Here is a 17692-nt window from a genome sequence, read left to right as displayed (position 1 = left end):
ACCGAAACCCAGCTTTATACCAGCTCAATTCCAGACTTGATTAAGGTGACCTGCCCTATTTTAACTGCCTGCCAGAGAACAAAACTAAATCCTCTTTGGAGGAAAAAGTCAGTGAGAGCCCTGAAATATCTCGGTATTTATTCATACACAACAAAACACAATCACTGAAATGAAGAATTCAGCAGTGGATTTAAAAGCAGACTAGACAGAGCAGAGGAAAGGATCAATGAACAGGAAGCAGGCCAACAGAAATATATCCAGACTGAGACACAGGGAATCAAAAAGAATAAAAAGTACAGAAAAGAGCTTATGAGGGACAGAGGAAACGCAGAATTATCTAACAAAGATGAAATTAGGGTCTCAGAGGAAGAGGAGACAGAACTGCAGCATGGCAAAACTGACAAGGCATGAAGCTCAAGAGTCAGGAAATTCCACAAATCCCAAACAGGTTCAGCACAAGGAAAACAACTGCTAGGCATATTATGGCAAAATTGCTGAAAAAAAGAAATATCTGAAAAGGCAGCTGGAAGGAAAAGTCAAATGTCTTCAAAAAGAACAAGACTAACGGTAGACATTTCGCCAGAAACAACAAAAAACAGAAGACAACTGAAAGACAACGTAAAGGTGCTGACAGTCACTGTCAACCCAGAATTTCACAGTCAGTGAAAAGACTCTTCAAAAACAAAAGTAAGCCGGGCGTGGTGGCTCACACCTGTAATCCCAGCACTTTGGGAGGCTGGGGTGGGCAGATGGCTTGAGGTCAGGAGTTCAAGACCGGCCTGGCCAACATGGTGAAGCCTAGTCTCTACTAAAAATACAAAATTGGCCAGGTATGGTGGTGGGTGCCTGTAATCCCAGTTACTTGGGAAGCTGAGGCAGGAGAATCACTTGAACTGGGGAGGCGGAGGTTGCAGTGAGCTTAGATCACACCACTGCACTCCAGCCTGGGCAACATGAGCGAGACTCCGTCTCAAAAAAAAAAAAAAGTAAAGTTAAGATGTTTTCAGACAAACAAAAGGATACAATTCATTGCCAACATACTGGGACTAATAGAAATACTAATGAAATACAGAAGGAATATGGTCTTAGGTAGAAAAATAGAAATATAAGAAATGAGGAGCAATGGGAATATAAATATGTGAATAAATCAAAAGGATATTTACTGCATAAAACAATAAAAGATATCCTATAGAGTTTATAAAGAAAGAATTAAGCTAAATGACAACAAGAGCACAAAGGGCTGAAGGTAAGTGGAAGGTAAATTATTAGAAGGTCTGTGCATTGTCTAAGAAGTAATAAAATTATTCATTTACATTAGGCTCTACATGTGGACTTACTAGTCAAGAATTTAGCAAACCAACAGAGAAGAAAAAACGTAGGAGGATGCAAGGGAAAAAGAAACACAAAGCAGGTGGAACTAAGAGAACACAACCAGTGAGATGTTGGTGTTAAACCCCAATAAACTAGTACTTACATTAAATGTAAAAGAACTAAATACACCATATAAAAGATAAAGATTGTCACAGCAGATGAAAGTCCAAAATCCAACTATAGGCTACTTACAGAAGATACACTTTAAATATAAGGACATAAAAAGTTTGAAAGTGAAAGCATGGGAAAATGTATACCATGCAAAAACATGAAACCAAAGAAAGATGGTGCAGCTCTACTGATATTGTAAAACAAGAAGCATTACCACTGACAAGAAGTGCATTTCATAATGATAAAAGGGCCAGTCTACTAAGAAAATAACAGAAACTCACAAACAGGTCTAAAATAGAAAGAACAGAGCTCTGTTGTAAATGGTCTAGAGGTGGTTAGGTTATCCTTACTAGGCTACGTAATTGCCTGTTTCCTTGTCTGCCTCTCCGGGAAGACTACAGTTTCTTGACAACAAAGACGATCCTCATGGTCATCACTGCATTCCCAGGATGATGGCAGAAAGAAAAGACTAAAGAGTAAAGAAAGCAAATCACACAACTCATTTAGCATCATTGTGCTTTTGCCCAAACCATAACCCAGAGTTACAGATGGGGAAACTGAGCCACACATGTGGGCAGCCACTCAGGGGTTAAGCTTTGAGAATACGTTTGCTAATGATCTTTGAAAAGGAGACTTGAAACGGGCCCTTCAGAGATGCCAACATCGACACAAACGAAATCTCTACAGTCAAATCAATACAGTCTACTTATACCAGTCTCAATGCATTCTTTAATTCAGACAGAGAGAAGGCCTGAAATAGACCAAAAAAAAAGAGGAAACATATCAAGGGAAGAAAAAGAACGGTCTGTGGTTGAAACCAGAAGTTGGTTTTATAAAGACACAAAAAATAAAAACAAAACATAAACAAGCACGCTGATGAATAATGACATGGCTTTGGTGTGAACTGTGCATATCAGATGCAAGTTACAACCTGGGATGAGTTGGTGGGGGACCCGTTAAGCAAGGAGCCATTATTGCTGGCCACTTCCCACTCCCCACATCTCGTATATCTCGCTGAGCCTGCCAGCACCCTTCCAACAGCAGGCAGAGATGTCACACTGACAGGCAGAGATGTCACACTGACTGAACACACAAGCAGTCTCACTTCCTGAACGGCATCAGCAATGTTCCAAGGGAACAGAAATAGAGTGCACTCTTCCAATACATTTTCTTCGAGAATCTGAAGCTGGAAAAAGAAAAACAACCCCATTTCTTCTCCATTTCTCAGCATCCCATCAACGTGTGGCCAGCTTCCCTTAGGAGGTTGTTTGGCTGCAAGTTACCAACACCCATCTCTTCCATTTTTTAGGTGCATTCAGGCCTCATGCCAAGACTCATGCCTAAAAGCCGGGAGTATGAAAGACCCTCTGAAGAGCGGACAGTAAGGGAGCCACAACTGTTAGACAGAACCCTGAGCCCAGGATACAGAGTGCTCCAATTCCTCCACCAGTGAGCCCTGTTAGAACTCAGGCAAGTGGCTCACCTTTCTCGTCTGCCTCATAGACAAGTGATAAAACTTCATGGCTTAGTAACTGTAAAATCCCTGGGGACTAAGGCTCTCTAGATACAAGGTGGTGCCTTATGAGGCCCCGGGATATCCTAGCTGCCTGCCTCTCCCCAAACATGTTCCAACCGACAATGTGAAAAATGAGAAAAACAACCTCTGCTCTGCAAACTGAGCTCACATCCTGCCGAACCTGACTCCTGTGTGCAACTCTTCTACTTTCTGGAAGTGGGGTCTGAGTTCCGAGCCTTCTGGGAACTGGTATACGACATCATCAGAAGTATAGCATCCCTACCCACTTTACAGGAGTGTGATGCAGAGTAAATAAAATTTTTTATTTTTAGAGATAGAGTCTCACTCTGTTGCCCAGGCTAGAGTGCAATAGCATGATCATAGCTCACTGCAACCACAAACTTCTGGGCTCGAGTGACCCTCCCCTTTCAGCCTCCCAAGCGGCTGGGAGTACAGGTGCACACCACCACACTAGAGTAATTGTTTTTTAAGATGGGGTCTCACTATATTGCCCAGGTTGGTCTCAAGCTATCCTCCTGCTTCAGCCTCTCAAAGAGCTGAAATTACAGGTGTGAGCCACTGTGCCCAGCCTTAAATAAAATTAATGCACACAAAAGGCTGAGCATGGGCCTTGATACCAAAAAATGTTCAATGAACTGCTTTGTTACTGTGATTATTGAACAAGCTTTTAAACATTCACTGTTACACCACACCCAAACTCCACCTGCCCCACGGCCACAAATGCCAACAAAGCCAGAACAGCTAAGCCTAGAGAAGCGCCTGTCCCCACCTGTGACACCCCGTGTGGCCTCCCATCTCCTCCACCAGGACCCTGTGGTGCGGCATACAGAGTTGGAGTTGGGCAGCAAATTGATGCGGGAGGAGTGGGTGCTCGGGCCAGCTCTACCATGGAGCAGCGGTTCCGTCACAAGAATCTCAGGAGGCCAGCGGCGCATGTTTATGAGACGCCGCGAGCTGCCGAGAAGTACAACATAAGGACAAAGCTCCAGCCCTGCCTGGGTCTCCAATCACACTCCCACTGGGGAGCTGTGTGGATTTCCCTAGATCTTCTGCCCCCCTAAAAAGAAAACTCTGAGTCCCCTAATAGTTGCCTTAGCCAAAGCCTCCCTCCAAGCTGGCTGACTTAATGCTGAAAACCTTCACTTGGCTTCAGCAATGTTTGTTCTTCCAGAATAAGAATGGGAAGTTTGGATTTTATCTTTCCCCACAATCCTTAATCCTGATTAGCCACTCTTAAAACAACTGATATCAATACTGACATTCCAGTGAGAGTAAACAGCACAACCCAGGCCTTCAATGTCTGCCCTCTTTAAATGCCCCTAAAAAATAAATAAAAGAATACACCCTTAAGAGCTTTGACCTATGTTTTGGCTGTGTTAAAGGCAGACATTTCAAAAGTGGTCAAAATAGAGTTCTTTAGTAATTCTTCTAAACAAAGGGTGAGCCACTATAATCTGTAACTAGAGTAAAAACAACATATTCTTGACTTAAAGATAAACCGATTAGATGTACAACTTGGACACACTCCTCTCAAAGAAGGTTCCTTTGTAGGGAAATGGTTCAGGCAGTGGTATTTCAGCGTGAGACACAAAAATGTTTCAAAACCCCACATTTTAAATGTAGTGGTGGCAAGGCAGAGAAAAGCTTTCTAATAACTAAACGTTTGAAACCCAAAGGAAACCTGTTTCTTTAACAAGCAGTTCTTGTTTTTAAAGGATTTAATGAAACAAGTCAAAAGGAACGGTGTCTAGTTGACAGGGGAAAGAAGAAAACAAAGAAAATGGTTTCCCCCCTAAAGGTTGATTTCATTTTACATCTGTAAATAATTTCAATGTAAACTGTCCCAAGTTTTCCCTAGTAGAGAGAAAGAGATTTCATAAACTTCCTGGGTTCCTCTACTTTATTTTCTTATCAGATGCATTTCCAGGCAAAAACAATCAAAACCCTCCTGGAAAGGAGTTTGGATCCCGGAAACGCTCCAGCCTGACGACACTCACTTCCTAAGCGCAGCACACTCTAAAGAAGGCATCAAGGGGATGTTACCCCAGGAACCTCTGAACCAGACAACACTGGGGAGAGGCTTCAGAAGAGCTTAAGAGAAAATGAAGGCAAGTGTTACCCAAGTCATTTCAGGATCTGGCTGGCCGGTCCTCCCACTGGCCTGCCGGTCATGCTGTATCGTTTCCACTCTGTATTAGTCAGCCTGGGCTGACAATACCACAGACGGGACCTTAAACAATAGACTTTTTTTTTTTTTTTGAGACAAGGTCTTGCTCTGCCACCCAGGCTGAAGTGCAGTGCAGGCTCAGCCTCCTAGGCTCAAGCCATCCTCCCACTTCAGCCTCCCTTGTAGCTGGGACCACAAGTGTGAGCCACTATGCCCAGCTAATTTTTGTATTTTCTTGTAGAGATGGGGTTTCGCTATGTTGCCCAGGCTGGTCTCAAACTCCTGGACTCAAGCGATTCACCCGCCTTGGCCTCCCAAAGTGCTGGGATTACAGGCATGAGCCACTGCACCTGGCCCAACAATAGATTTGTATTTCTCACAGCTCTGGAGGCTGGAAGCTCAGCTCAAGGTACCAGCAGATCTGGTTCCTGGTGAGGCCTCTTCCTGGCTTGCAGGTGGCCCTGTTCTGCTGTGTGCTCACATGGTAGGGAAAAAAATCTCTCTTTCCATCTTCCTCCTCCTATAAGGACACCTGTCCTGTAGGACAGGTGGATCAGGGCGCCACCCTTTAGGACCTCCTCTAACCTTAATCACCTCCACAAAGGACCTGTCTCCAAATACAGTCACTCTGGGGTTTGGGACTTCAACGTAAGAAACTTGAGGGGGCACAATTCAGTCCACAACACACTCATACTTCCATGCGGCTGCTAGTCAGAGGGACAGAGACTTCCTGTGGGGCCTGTATGGGCTACAAGGCTCAGGAGGTGATGGCTTTCAACCTGCTTTTGAGGGCTGGCTGATGGAGAAGGCAGGTATGACTCAGAGCAATAACAGAAAAAACAAAAAAACAACTTCAACATGCTTTTTTTTTTTTAACTAATGGGGGGAAATAAGTAAATGAGGGCTTGACAGGAAGCCCTGTGGCCATTTGGGTAGGACAGTCTCTTCAATGTGCCAGACCAACCTGGGCTATACGAAATATGTGGCTTCATTGGGCCCTGGTGGTAAATGCCAGGAGCACCCCACGGGTATTCTAACAACCCCCGATCCTCCACCCCCACATTTCCATCTTCGCTCTGGGTGGGTGGCACAGCTCAAGGCTGAGAACCACTGAATTAGACACTCCCCTGAGGCTCCTTTTAGCTTCACAGTCGCATAGCTTCATAAAATTATATCTCCTGATCACGGGAACACAGCCTAAAATAGTACGCAATCTACAGTGTTAGACTGTCCTCAAGTGTCAGCCGTTGGCTCCAGATTCACAGCTAAAGATCTCAATGTTGGAATCGTCCAGGGCTCAGGCCTTGGGCCTCTTCTGTCTGCATCCATTCCCTTGGGCTTAACACCCAGCCTCACGGTTTTAAATACCATCCATACGCTGAACATTTCCAAATTTACATTCCCGCTAAGACCTTCCTCCTGAACACCAGACACATATCCCACCACCTACAAAACAGGTCCACCTACACTGAGCAGCATTAACATGTCCACATTTCCCTACACCTGCTCCACTCACAGCCTCCCTATATCTCAGCTGAGGAGACTGCAGGTCTTCCCTTGTGCCAGCCACAATCCTTGGCACCCTCTTCCAAGCCATACCCCCCTCCAGTCCATTAGCACATCCTGTTGGCCCCACCTTCAGAATATAGCCCACCAGACCACTTCTCACCACCACCAATGCTACTTTCCATTACCTTCTGCCTGGACAGTAAGAACAGCTTCCCAACGCAGAGAGAGAGAGAAAAAACAAACACTTACTACAAAAAAGAAACTTCAGAATTCCCATTGGTTTAATTTGCTTTTAAGTCTTGATAATTTATTTGAAATTTCCAAGCAAGAAGATTATTTTTTTAAATTGAGAAACCATGCAGAGATCACTGTTAGAGGTGAGGGATATCCCAATTACCCTGACTTGATCATTACACATTGTAGACAGGTATCAAAATCTCACATGTACCGCCAAGATAGATAACAACTATGATATATCAATTTAAAAATAAAAAGAAAAGAAATGGTGCTTTCAAAACTAGGATGGGGCTGAATGCCGTGGCTCACACTTACTATCTCAGCATTTTGGGAGGCCAAGGCGGGAGAATTGCTTGAGGCCAGGAGTTTGAGACCAGCCTGGGCAACACAGTAAGACCCCATCTCTACAAAAACTTAGCCTAGCGTCATGATGCGCACCCACGGTCCCAGCTACTCAGGAGGCTGGGGCAGGAGAATCACTTGAGCCCAAGAGGGAAAGGCTACAGTGAGCCAAAATTGTACCACTGCAGCCTGGGTGACAGAGTGAGACCTTGCAGAAAGAAAAGAAAAAAAAAATAAGATGGGCTATCATCTTTCTAATATCTAAGAGGACCTAATATATCTTATACATAGTATTTAGTATTTCACTCACAGCTGGCTTTTGTGTGCTTCCTGATTCCATGTAAATATTTCTTCTTGGTACAATATATACATCTAGAAAGGTAAATAAAGCATAGCCCAGAGTTTTTTGTTTGTCTGTTTGTTTGGGAGGCTCTGAAGCCTTATTCCTTGTATCTATCCTTCAGGGTAATAAGGGGTGGATTATAATCGCAGTTTTCCAGTCCTGGGAGAACACAAACACAATGAGGTTATTTGTGTGTGGCCCATCTTGAGTTCACAGGACCTTTATACTTAAATATCCCCCTTTCCTTCTCCTGTATTCTTTTATGATTCTTCATATCTTGCATGATTTATTGGGCACTCAATATATGCCAGGCACTCTGCTAAACAATTCACTCACTCAGCAAATACTTATTGAATTTACTGAGTGCCCGGAGGTGTCTGAATAACAACCCTGGATACAATAACTCACTATTCGGAAGAAAAAAATAAGTAAAATACACAGTGTGTGGGTGGTGAGAGGAACTGTGGAGAAAAATCAAGCAGGAAAGGGGGACGGGAAGTTTTGGAGTGGGGGTCAGGGGGTTGAACTCCTAGGGAAGATGGTCAAGGGATACCTCACTGAGGTGGCTCAGGGGAGGGGCAACCAGCCCATGTAAACATGTTGCTTAATCTTCATAGGTTACAGATGGAGTAATGTTCTATCATCTTATAGATGATAAAGGTCACAGAATTAAGAACTGGAGGGTCTGAGATTTTCAACCCAGGTCTGTAGGACTCCAAACACCTCATTCTTAATTACCCTCCACCTGTACTGCTTTCAGATTTATCAAAACTAAAGACTGAATTCTACTGTGCAAGAATTTCTATTGATCAACACGAAGGTAGATACTGCAGAGACAAAAAACATTTTATACAGAAAGGTCAAATTCTGAAATAGCTCCCCATTAGATATATTGGGAGAGAAATTCAAAGAGGTAACCCAATCTTCTTAACCTGACATTCAACAAGAATGGTAATTCTAGAGCTTACACTTTGAGACATTAAATCGGCTCAGCTCTAGGCATCCAATTGACTATGGATAGACTTTAATTTAGCCCAAATCCAACAAATGTGGAAGGCATCCCAGCTGCCCCTTTAACACATGCAAATGAACATGACACACTGGCTGGAACTAAAATTAAACCCACCTAAAATGCATCCCACACTGTGGGATGAATATTCAAACATCTGTTTGGACAAACTCATATTTCAAAAACTTTGAAAAAAAATATACGTACATATAGTTTTGGGGACTTTGTAGGGACTTGCAAGGGAGGCAGATGAGAAAGCCAGCCCACATGCTGATGAGCCATGAGAAAGAACACCATTCTTCTCTCAGCTCACAGGGTAAGTTAAGTATGTAAAGATAAAATCTTGTGGGAAAACTAGCTCTTAACCCACATGGTGAAAAGAAATTCAGACCATCTCATGGAGATGTCATGCCAAGCAGTCGACTGAAGTCATCAGGGAAGATTTCTGCACTAGATTCTGCTAGACTTTATTCCCCTGAGTTTAGGCCAAGCCCTTCTTAAAAGCTACACGGACGCTTTCTGGTCTTCAGTCAGTAGCTCTTAATCACTGGGCAAGTTATCAACATTCCGGGCACCTCCGTTTCCTCTCTGTGTATGAAGATAAGCTTCAAGCCTATCTTAAAGGGTTGTGTGGATTACGTGGGTGGGGGCCGGAGAAGCACCTGGCATGGGCTGCTTGGCCTGGTTAGCCTGGGGATGGGCTGGTGGTGGGGAAGTACACACCTGGGACCCTCTGGAAAAAGTGAAGGACCCTGTCCCCAGAAACGCACCTACATATACACTTGCGATCTTGCACACAGCTTCGGCCTCAACACTTTCACAACATCCCAAAGCCCATGCATGGCTCCCTGGAGGTCCTTGGACCCCAGGTTGTCACCCCTTATTTTAGATACAGTACTAAACAGTTAGTCAAGCTGACTTTAACCAGGACAGCATAAGGACTGAGTAGAGCTGGCTTTAGAAAAGAAATTAATGGATGACAGGAAACATTAATCAAAGACAATCTTTTGGAGTGGAGTTAGGAAAATGATGAGATTCTTACTATTATATAAGATATGTATGTTTACATATACTCATATGTATCAGATATTAACACACAAACACACACACACACTTTTCCATGGCCCTAAAAAAACTGTAAAGCTACATATTTCTTAAATATGAGCTGGAATAGGTGAACAGAGCTGACTAGAACCCAAAGAAAGCTGTTAAGAAAGGAAGCTCCTGGCAGTTAACTGGCACCTACACTGTCCATAAAGTCCTTGAGAGTAAGAGAGAAAAATCTTCTTTCACTGTATGCAGTGTGTGTGAATGTAGTTTCACTGGCCATTTGTCTCTCTCCAGCTCTCCCTCCCCCATCAATCCCTGAAACTCCAGCCCGTGAAATTAGACACTTGCTGGCTCTCTGGGAGCCCCATGCTTTCCTGGCAGGGCTTCTGCACTTCCTTCTTCCTGGGTGTCCCCACCCAATTCACCGCTCTTGGGACCTGTCCTGACCCTCCCACCCTCCTGAGTGCCTCAAAAGTATTCATGCAAAGTAGACTGCCCAACCCATGGAGCTACACGACCTCACTTCCTGGTGCACCTGCCACCCCTAGCAGCTGGAATGGGACCAGATTTTTCTGGGTGAAATGCTAGGATCCGAGCACAGAGTCTGACATATGGTAGATGTGTAATCTATATTCCATTCACTGATGAATGAATGACTCTAACTTAGCAGGAAGATATACCAAGCACCCAGGAAAACAGCTGCCTTCAAAATGCAGCTCCTTATTTTTTAATAATCTGAAACAAGACTAATTCACTGAGAATTCCAATGTGAAAGACCTCCCAATCAAGGTTCTTATCAGCAAACTTACAGGTATGGGATAACAATGAGGGTTATGCATATCACTTTCCTGATAAGTGGTGACAAATACTCTTTTTAAAATGCCTACCAACCTCCTGAGCTGAGCTTCATAGACCCCAAAGTACCCTCCACTCTCAAGATCTTTGAAGAATAAAAAGGGGTGGGCAAGGTGGAGCATGCCTGTAATCCCAGCACTTTGGGAGGCCGAGGCGGGCGGATCACTTGAGGTCTGGAGTTTGAGACCAGCCTGGCCAACATGGTGAAATCCCATCTCTACTAAAAATACAAAAATTAGTCAGGTGTGGTGGCAGGCAGCTGTAATTCCAGATACTCGGGAGGCTGAGCCACAAATTGCTTGAACCTGGGAAGTAGAGGAGTAGAGGTTGCAGTGAGCCAAGATCACATCACTATATTCCAGCCTAGGCAACAGAGCAAGACTCAGTCTCCAAAAAAAAAAAGAAAAAGAAAAAGAAAAAGAAGGAGGTCAGGAGAGCAGTGGTTCATGTTTGTGATTCCAGCACTTTGGGAGGCTAAGGCGGGAGGATCACTTAAGGCCAGGAGTTCAAAACCAGCCTGAGCAAATGGAGAGACTTCACCTCTACCAAAAAATAAAAATAAAAAATTTTAAATAAATATTATCTGGATGTAGTGGTGAATGCCTGTAGTCCTAGCTACTCAGGAGGCTGAGATGGGAGGATTGCTTGAGCCCAAGAGTTTGAGGTTACAGTGAGCTATGATCGCACCACTGCATTCCAACCTGGGTGATAGAGGGAGACCCTATCTCTAAAAATAGAAAGAAAGATGTGGACAAGAGCCCTTCCTTTAGTACAGGGTGTGGAGATGTGGCACCTGTCCCTCCTGTGTTTCTGCTCAATTTAACATCTATTGTGCTGGGTAGTTCATTTCTCCTTTCTAATCTTTAGAACATTTCCAATATAAGCTGTCACAATAAGCAGGAATTTAGATTTTCTTCCTCCAAGGTTGGGAACAATGACAAATTTTGCATTTTTGTGAATGGATCATAAAAATAACAAGTGATCACTAAATATAAAGCCAGTCACACAACTCTCTTTCTGACTTCCACGCTCTGGCCAGAAACCCACAGCCTCTGCACACTGCCACAGGGCACCTAAAGACTAGAGCTGAATCTAGAACCATCCTTCCACTGCCTATGGATGAAGTTCCATTGCCATATACCTCAGGATTTTTCCTAGTTTTACAACACACATTCAATTTCCCAGAGTAATGGAGAAGTTCTAGTGTCACAGGTGAAAGCGACGTACTGGTTTGTGTGAAAGCAAATGAAGCTGCAGCAGGTGCTTAGTGGGGTACTTACTGGTCATGCCGGGTGTCAGGGATGGCTCTGTCCATTCGAAGCTTATCACTCTCCACCTGGTTGAACTTGTTGCGGGCGTAAGGGTCCTGCCCGGAGCGGACCATCGTCCCTCCAACATAAGCTTCCTGGTTAAAGTCTGGCCACCGTACTTTCCCTAAAAAGAGCAGAGCAGAGGGTAGGGATGAGGGAAAATGTGACCAAGTGCTCATCACAGAGACTGCAGTAAGTGTTAACTCCAGAAATCACATCCATGGCTTCTTTATATAGTGGCCATTTTAAACAACAAACTAGCTGAAAACAGCACAAGCAAGCATCATCCTGTCTACAACCCAGAGAATAGGAAACTGCAGGTTTGCCATTTACAGCATGAAAGTTAAAGGCCTGGTGTACAGGCATCTGTCCAGTGAACAAAGTAAGATCAAAGTACCTGTAACTGTGGCATCATTCATGTTTTCTATAAAAGGAGATGTTCTCAGCTTGTCCCACCTTTCCAGGGATTATAATGTTGACATTATCTCAGGTAGGGTGAAGAAGATCATGTATAAACTGCACATAAGGTATTCCATCATGTAACATCAGGTAACACAAAAATAAATGTTTATACAAAAAATAACCCCTAAAGAACAGGATATCAAAATACCCTTTGGTGAGACCTTGTCAAGGGGTCCTTTTTGCAGCTGTTAGTATGCCTGACCCCACGGGGAGAAAGTGAAGGATGTGGCTCTCAGAGGTGTCCTCATATGCACAGCAGGGGCCTGGCCATTCCTAACACACACATCATACCTGTTCTCTTCCTGGAAGAAAGGAAGCCAAGGCAGCCTGCCTGTCCCCTGGCATTGGCCTGAACCCTAGAATGCCAGGCACAAGGTTCTCCAAGAACACACCACTGCACTGAGGAGCTCTACCCTAGGGCAGAGGCAGTGTTGGCGACCAAGGAGCATTGAGAGGAGAGCACTGCTAGGCGAGTGAAGTCAGGATGAGCCCAGGTGTAATAAAGGCAGAGCCAGAGAAATGCACAAAGGCAGGATGCTCAAACAGCAGAAGACAGGTGGAAGGAGAGGCAGACTTGAAGCAAGGAGAACATTTATGATTCTGTGTCAACCTGGGTTTCAATCAAGCACCATTCGCCATTTGCCACCTATATGATCTCGGATACGCTATTCATTGTTTGAAATTAAGTTTCCTACAAAATAAGTAAATAGAATAACAAAAGGTTCTTCACGAGGACTTAATGGCCTACAATGTTCCACTTCATAGATATGACAAACTAAAAAATAATAATAAACACCACCAACAACCCTGCTCACATGAAACTCATACAATTTCCAGTGGTTGGAACTGCCATGAAGAAACATAAGGCTGTTATGGGGGCAGGGAGTACAGGGTTCCTGTTCTTTATGGGGTGGTCTGGTAAGGCCTAGCAAGATGATTTTGAGCAGATAACTGAACAAAGGCAGGGTGTGGGCATGCAACTCTCCGGGAGAATAGGGCACCGCAGTGCAAAGGTCCTAGTGTCGACATGAGCATGCCCATTCAGGAACCAGCCAGGAGGCCAGTGTGACTAAGGAGCAAGCAAGAGCCTGGCCGTCAGAGCCAAGGTTGGAGAGGGGAAGGCAGGGCTGCCGGCAGCTACACGAAACAGGGCAGCAAGGGGGAGACAGCTCTTTTGCAGCGTGTCAACCCTTGGGTCGTGCAGTTGACCTTGAAAACACGGTATGATAATAGCATGTGTACCTCCATATCTACTTTCCCAACAGAAATCCCTCATTACACAATTGAAGGGCCATTGTGTTCCTTTCTCTATTTCAGAGATGAGGAAACTGAGAATCAGTTACATGTAATTTGTTCAAGACAGAAGAGTAAATTTTCTATCTAAAAGCTCATCTGCTTCTTGTTGCAATGGTCCTGCGAGGTCAGAACCCCCATCTCATCACAGCTGGTTGCCGTGGAAATGATGCTTGGGGGGTGTCACAGAAGTCTGGCCTCTCAAATCGAAAATCAGTTCCAAAACCCACGAGCCTGGCTACAGCGATGATACCACGGCCCCAATAAACAGCTGCCTGTGGGAGCCGGCCAAGGTGTCAGCATCTTCTTATGCCGCAAATAAAATGTTTCCAAAACATGTTACTGGAAACATGTTTTCCGTGCAAAGACCATCCTAAAAATACTTACTGATCCTCCACTCTCTCCTCATCTTCCTGCCTTCACCCTCATATATTTTCAAGGATGAGAAGAAAAATAACACCTACCTGCGCTCAAGAGCGAGCAGCTTCTACTCCTCACCAGTGAGTTTATCCTTTCACGGACTAATACAAAAGAGGCTTTGAAGCTTTTGTTAAAATCTAAACCAGCAGCACCTACGGCAGAATTCCAATGAGCTGGTTCTAACAAACGTATTTAATGTCCTGAATACCCTGCACCACGGAACTTTGAACTATGGAATAAAGAACCATGACGGAGTCCCATGCGCAGCCAGAGAAGAGACCACCACCCGAGAGAGGTTTCATCCTACCATGTAACTCTGCTTACAGCCTACTTGCTTCTCACCGGCGTGCTGGGGACAGCAAAGTCTGAGGACTCTGGTTGGTGTGGGCCTGTGTGCAAGGAGAGCAGTGGCCATGGGATAAGGCCTCTGCACAGCTCTAGAAGCTTCAATCCCATTTCCACCCATACATCTCTTTGTGCTCTCACACCCCCACAGCCCTTCTGGAATAAGACCATCACAGCACAGGGTTTGCAAGATGTCTAATGCCAGTCATTCACAGGGCAGCTCAGACCCTGGCCTGCGGTGCATACTAGGTGACTCCACATGAGGTGTCATGCTAGATCCTGCAGGGAGAATAAGCACACACAGGCCCGTGACCCATGCTGTGGACTTCATGTTCTAGGAGGTAGAGGGAGACAGACAAGAATCAAATGACTGTACTAGGCCGGGCGCACTGGCTCACGCCTGTAATCCCAGCACTTTGGGGAGGCCGAGGCAGGTGGATCACGAGGCCAGGCGTTCGAGACCAGCCTGGCCAACATGGTGAAACCCCATCTCTACTAAAAATACAAAAAATTAGCCAGACGTGGTGGCAGGCGCCTGTAATCCCAGCTACTCAGGAGGCTGAGGCAGGAGAATCGTTTGAACCTGGGAGGCGGAGGTTGCAGTGAGCCGAGATTGCACCACTGCACTCCAGCCTGGGCAACAGTGCAAGACTCCATCTCAAAAAAAAAAAAAAAAAAGAAAAAAAAGAATTAAATGACCATACTAATAAATGTATCAATAAAAACTGAGCTAAGTGCTCTGAGGGTGAAGAATGAAGCATCTAATGGAGCAATCTTATCTAGACTGGGAAACCAGGGGCGGCTTCCCTGCAGAAAGAATATCTGAACTGAGATTTGAATCATGAGTAAAAATGAACTTGGAGAAGCCCTTGAAACTTCACAAAAATATCATCTTTCTTCAGCACCCAAAGACTACATGAGCCTACTGAGCGGTACCCTGCCCTGCCGCCTCCTTTGACACAGGAGCGTCTTCAACAGGACCCTGGTGTGGGCCCTGCCTTGTCTTGTGGCAATCTCCCTGAGACACACAGCTGTTTTACTAGAGACAGACTATCAACAGTATTTCTTTCATAAAAGCTTAGCAGTACTGGAATACTACAGGGGCTTTCAAGTTTGCTTGACAATGACACACTTTTAACACTGTGACCCAGGTGTCACAATGCAAACATACACACCCAACTGATACAAAAGTCTCACAATACCAAACTTACCCTCACTATATGCGAGGAACAGATCTATTCTATTTTTGTTTTAGGTATCTCTCGAAACTGGCTTCACCACCTAATGATGGGTCACAACCCATAATTTGGAAAACGCTAAGCTAAAGAACCATTACTAAAATTGGTTATTTCTGTACTATATAGAATTGCTAGGTTTGAAGCTACCCCCAGAGGCAAAGGCAGGAAAATCCATGGAGAACAAGGTTTGCAGAGGGCACACGCGTCCCAGCCCAACCCCACGCAAACAGGGACATGGCGAGAGGTACACAGAGTAGGGTATGAGTCAGAGGTTAGAGAGAAACAGCCACAAAACAACCAACAAAACGTCTGAATATATTGCCTTCCTAAAAATATGACATGTCATCCATACATCATCTTGTGCTTTTATCATCTTTTTAAAAATCTTTAAAAATAGTTCTGGAAATTAAACAGCTTTAGAAAATAAAAATATATGAGAATCTCGGGAAAGTGGACTTGGCTAAGCAGAAGCAGCTGACGGAAAATACTTCAAAGATATAACATTTTACATGAGGAGGCAGAAACTAGCTTCATCACCAAAGATGACAGGAAAATAAAACATACATTTAAATAACATGAGAAAGGTATTTAAATAACATGAGAAAAGAAAGAGAGCATTATCCTAAAAAGGGCTGCGAAAAGTTTGCTTATTAAATAAGGTTATGAAAATATTTTTGAGGAAATTTCTTTCCAGAAGATAGACTTCTCTTAGATGTGGTCTTTGAAACCAAAGAAGGAATTGTTTGACCTTACCAGCCTTGAAACCCCTGATTCAGTAAAAATGAGAAGCTTACAGCTGATTATTCCGCAGACAGAACAAGTCACCTGTCTGCGACCCCATGCCGACCTACCTGGGCTGGAATGAGGTCTGCGCTAGTCCCAGTCAAACCCTCAGGTGGTCCCACAGACTGCCCTGCTCCACACATGCATGGCCATGTCCTCTGAGAAGCACTGGGCCCACAAGGGTCTCACTCTCCTGGGCTGCTGTCCTGCCCCTGCCACTCCTCGTACGCTCCTGGGCTGCTGTCCTGCCCCTGCCACTCCTCGTACGCTCCTGGGCTGCTGTCCTGCCCCTGCCACTCCTCGTACTCTCCTGGGCTGCTGTCCTGCCCCTGCCACTCCTCGTACGCTCCTGGGCTGCTGGTCCTGCCCCTGCCACTCCTCGTACTCTCCTGGGCTGCTGTCCTGCCCGCGCCACTCCTCGTATTGCTCCAGGCTCCCTTTCCTACCCAGGTGAAGATGGAGCTCCTCACCTCACAGACTCAGCCTCGCCCGCAGCACCTCAGCATCCCACATGCGCAGTCCACAAGCACCTGTTAAGGGCTTTACTACTGAGGGTCTCGTCCTGGGTCGAAGGTACCGGAGGCTGACCGTGAAAAGGAATCCAATCCTGCGCGTGACTGGGAGGAACGCAGCTTCGTGTTAGTTCTTACACATCTCATCGCTGCGTGCCGATACAGCCGCATATGAGACGTGCTGTGGTCTTGCGCCGGACGCTTACTCCTACGCCTCTTTCGCTCGTTTGCAGGCATTTTTTAAATGTGTTCCACCGCAAAGCCTGTCAGCCCTCCCGAGCCTGCCTGCCCCATCAGTCAGATCGCTGGCTGGAGCACGGGGGAACAGAGGGTGCAGAGCTGGCCAACAGGGGTCCAGGCCAATGCTGTGTCACTGATAAGGATTCAAGGACTTGAGCAGAGGAGCAGCAGAACACACACACGCACGCATGTACGCACGCATGCACACACACACACAGAGCACAAAATCCAAGCATGAGGGTGAGCCTGGCTCACTGACTCCCTCTGACACTCTGGTTTGTATAAAATGGAAATAATATTCCACTTCTGGGGTTGTTATAACAACTAAATGAGATGATCACAGCAAAAGTCCTACACTACTAACTATAAAATTAACTGATATTTACAGGCAGAAATGACCGAACACAAACAGAATGTCCCTGCCTCTCTGATGTAACCCCCTATGCCCTCACCCAGAAAGGGCTGCTGGGAACCACCCAGCCACCAGGCCCTCTGTGACACCCATGAGGGGTGTCCCACTCTGCAACTGACCCCGGGGGGGCGAGCAGGAAGCATAGA

General features: G+C 45.3%; 1 protein-coding gene across 3 annotated transcripts in view, besides 2 other annotated features; it reads right to left on the bottom strand.

Annotated features, from left to right (window-relative positions):
* Positions 1–17692, bottom strand: part of GALNT2 (polypeptide N-acetylgalactosaminyltransferase 2) — a 224334-nt gene that overhangs the window by 67021 nt on the left and 139621 nt on the right. For all 3 annotated transcript variants that reach the window (NM_001291866.2, NM_004481.5, XM_017000964.3), the window contains one exon: positions 11812–11965. In NM_001291866.2, coding sequence (NP_001278795.1) covers positions 11812–11965 — 154 coding nt within the window. The remainder of the gene's footprint in view (positions 1–11811; positions 11966–17692) is intronic.
* Positions 14232–14731: an enhancer, noted in NCBI's record as "H3K4me1 hESC enhancer chr1:230336117-230336616 (GRCh37/hg19 assembly coordinates)". NCBI's record gives its function as "activates a minimal SCP1, AML or CMV promoter by ChIP-STARR-seq in naive H9 embryonic stem cells {active_cell/tissue: H9 hESC(naive)}" and the evidence as "EXISTENCE:reporter gene assay evidence [ECO:0000049][PMID:30033119]".
* Positions 16147–16840: an enhancer, noted in NCBI's record as "H3K27ac-H3K4me1 hESC enhancer chr1:230334008-230334701 (GRCh37/hg19 assembly coordinates)". NCBI's record gives its function as "activates a minimal SCP1, AML or CMV promoter by ChIP-STARR-seq in primed H9 embryonic stem cells {active_cell/tissue: H9 hESC(primed)}" and the evidence as "EXISTENCE:reporter gene assay evidence [ECO:0000049][PMID:30033119]".

The sequence above is a fragment of the Homo sapiens genome, chromosome 1 (assembly GCF_000001405.40).
Source record: "Homo sapiens chromosome 1, GRCh38.p14 Primary Assembly".
Classification (NCBI taxonomy): Eukaryota; Metazoa; Chordata; class Mammalia; order Primates; family Hominidae; genus Homo; species Homo sapiens.
Note: the sequence above shows the minus strand (reverse complement) of the source record. Positions and strands in the feature narration are given on the sequence as shown.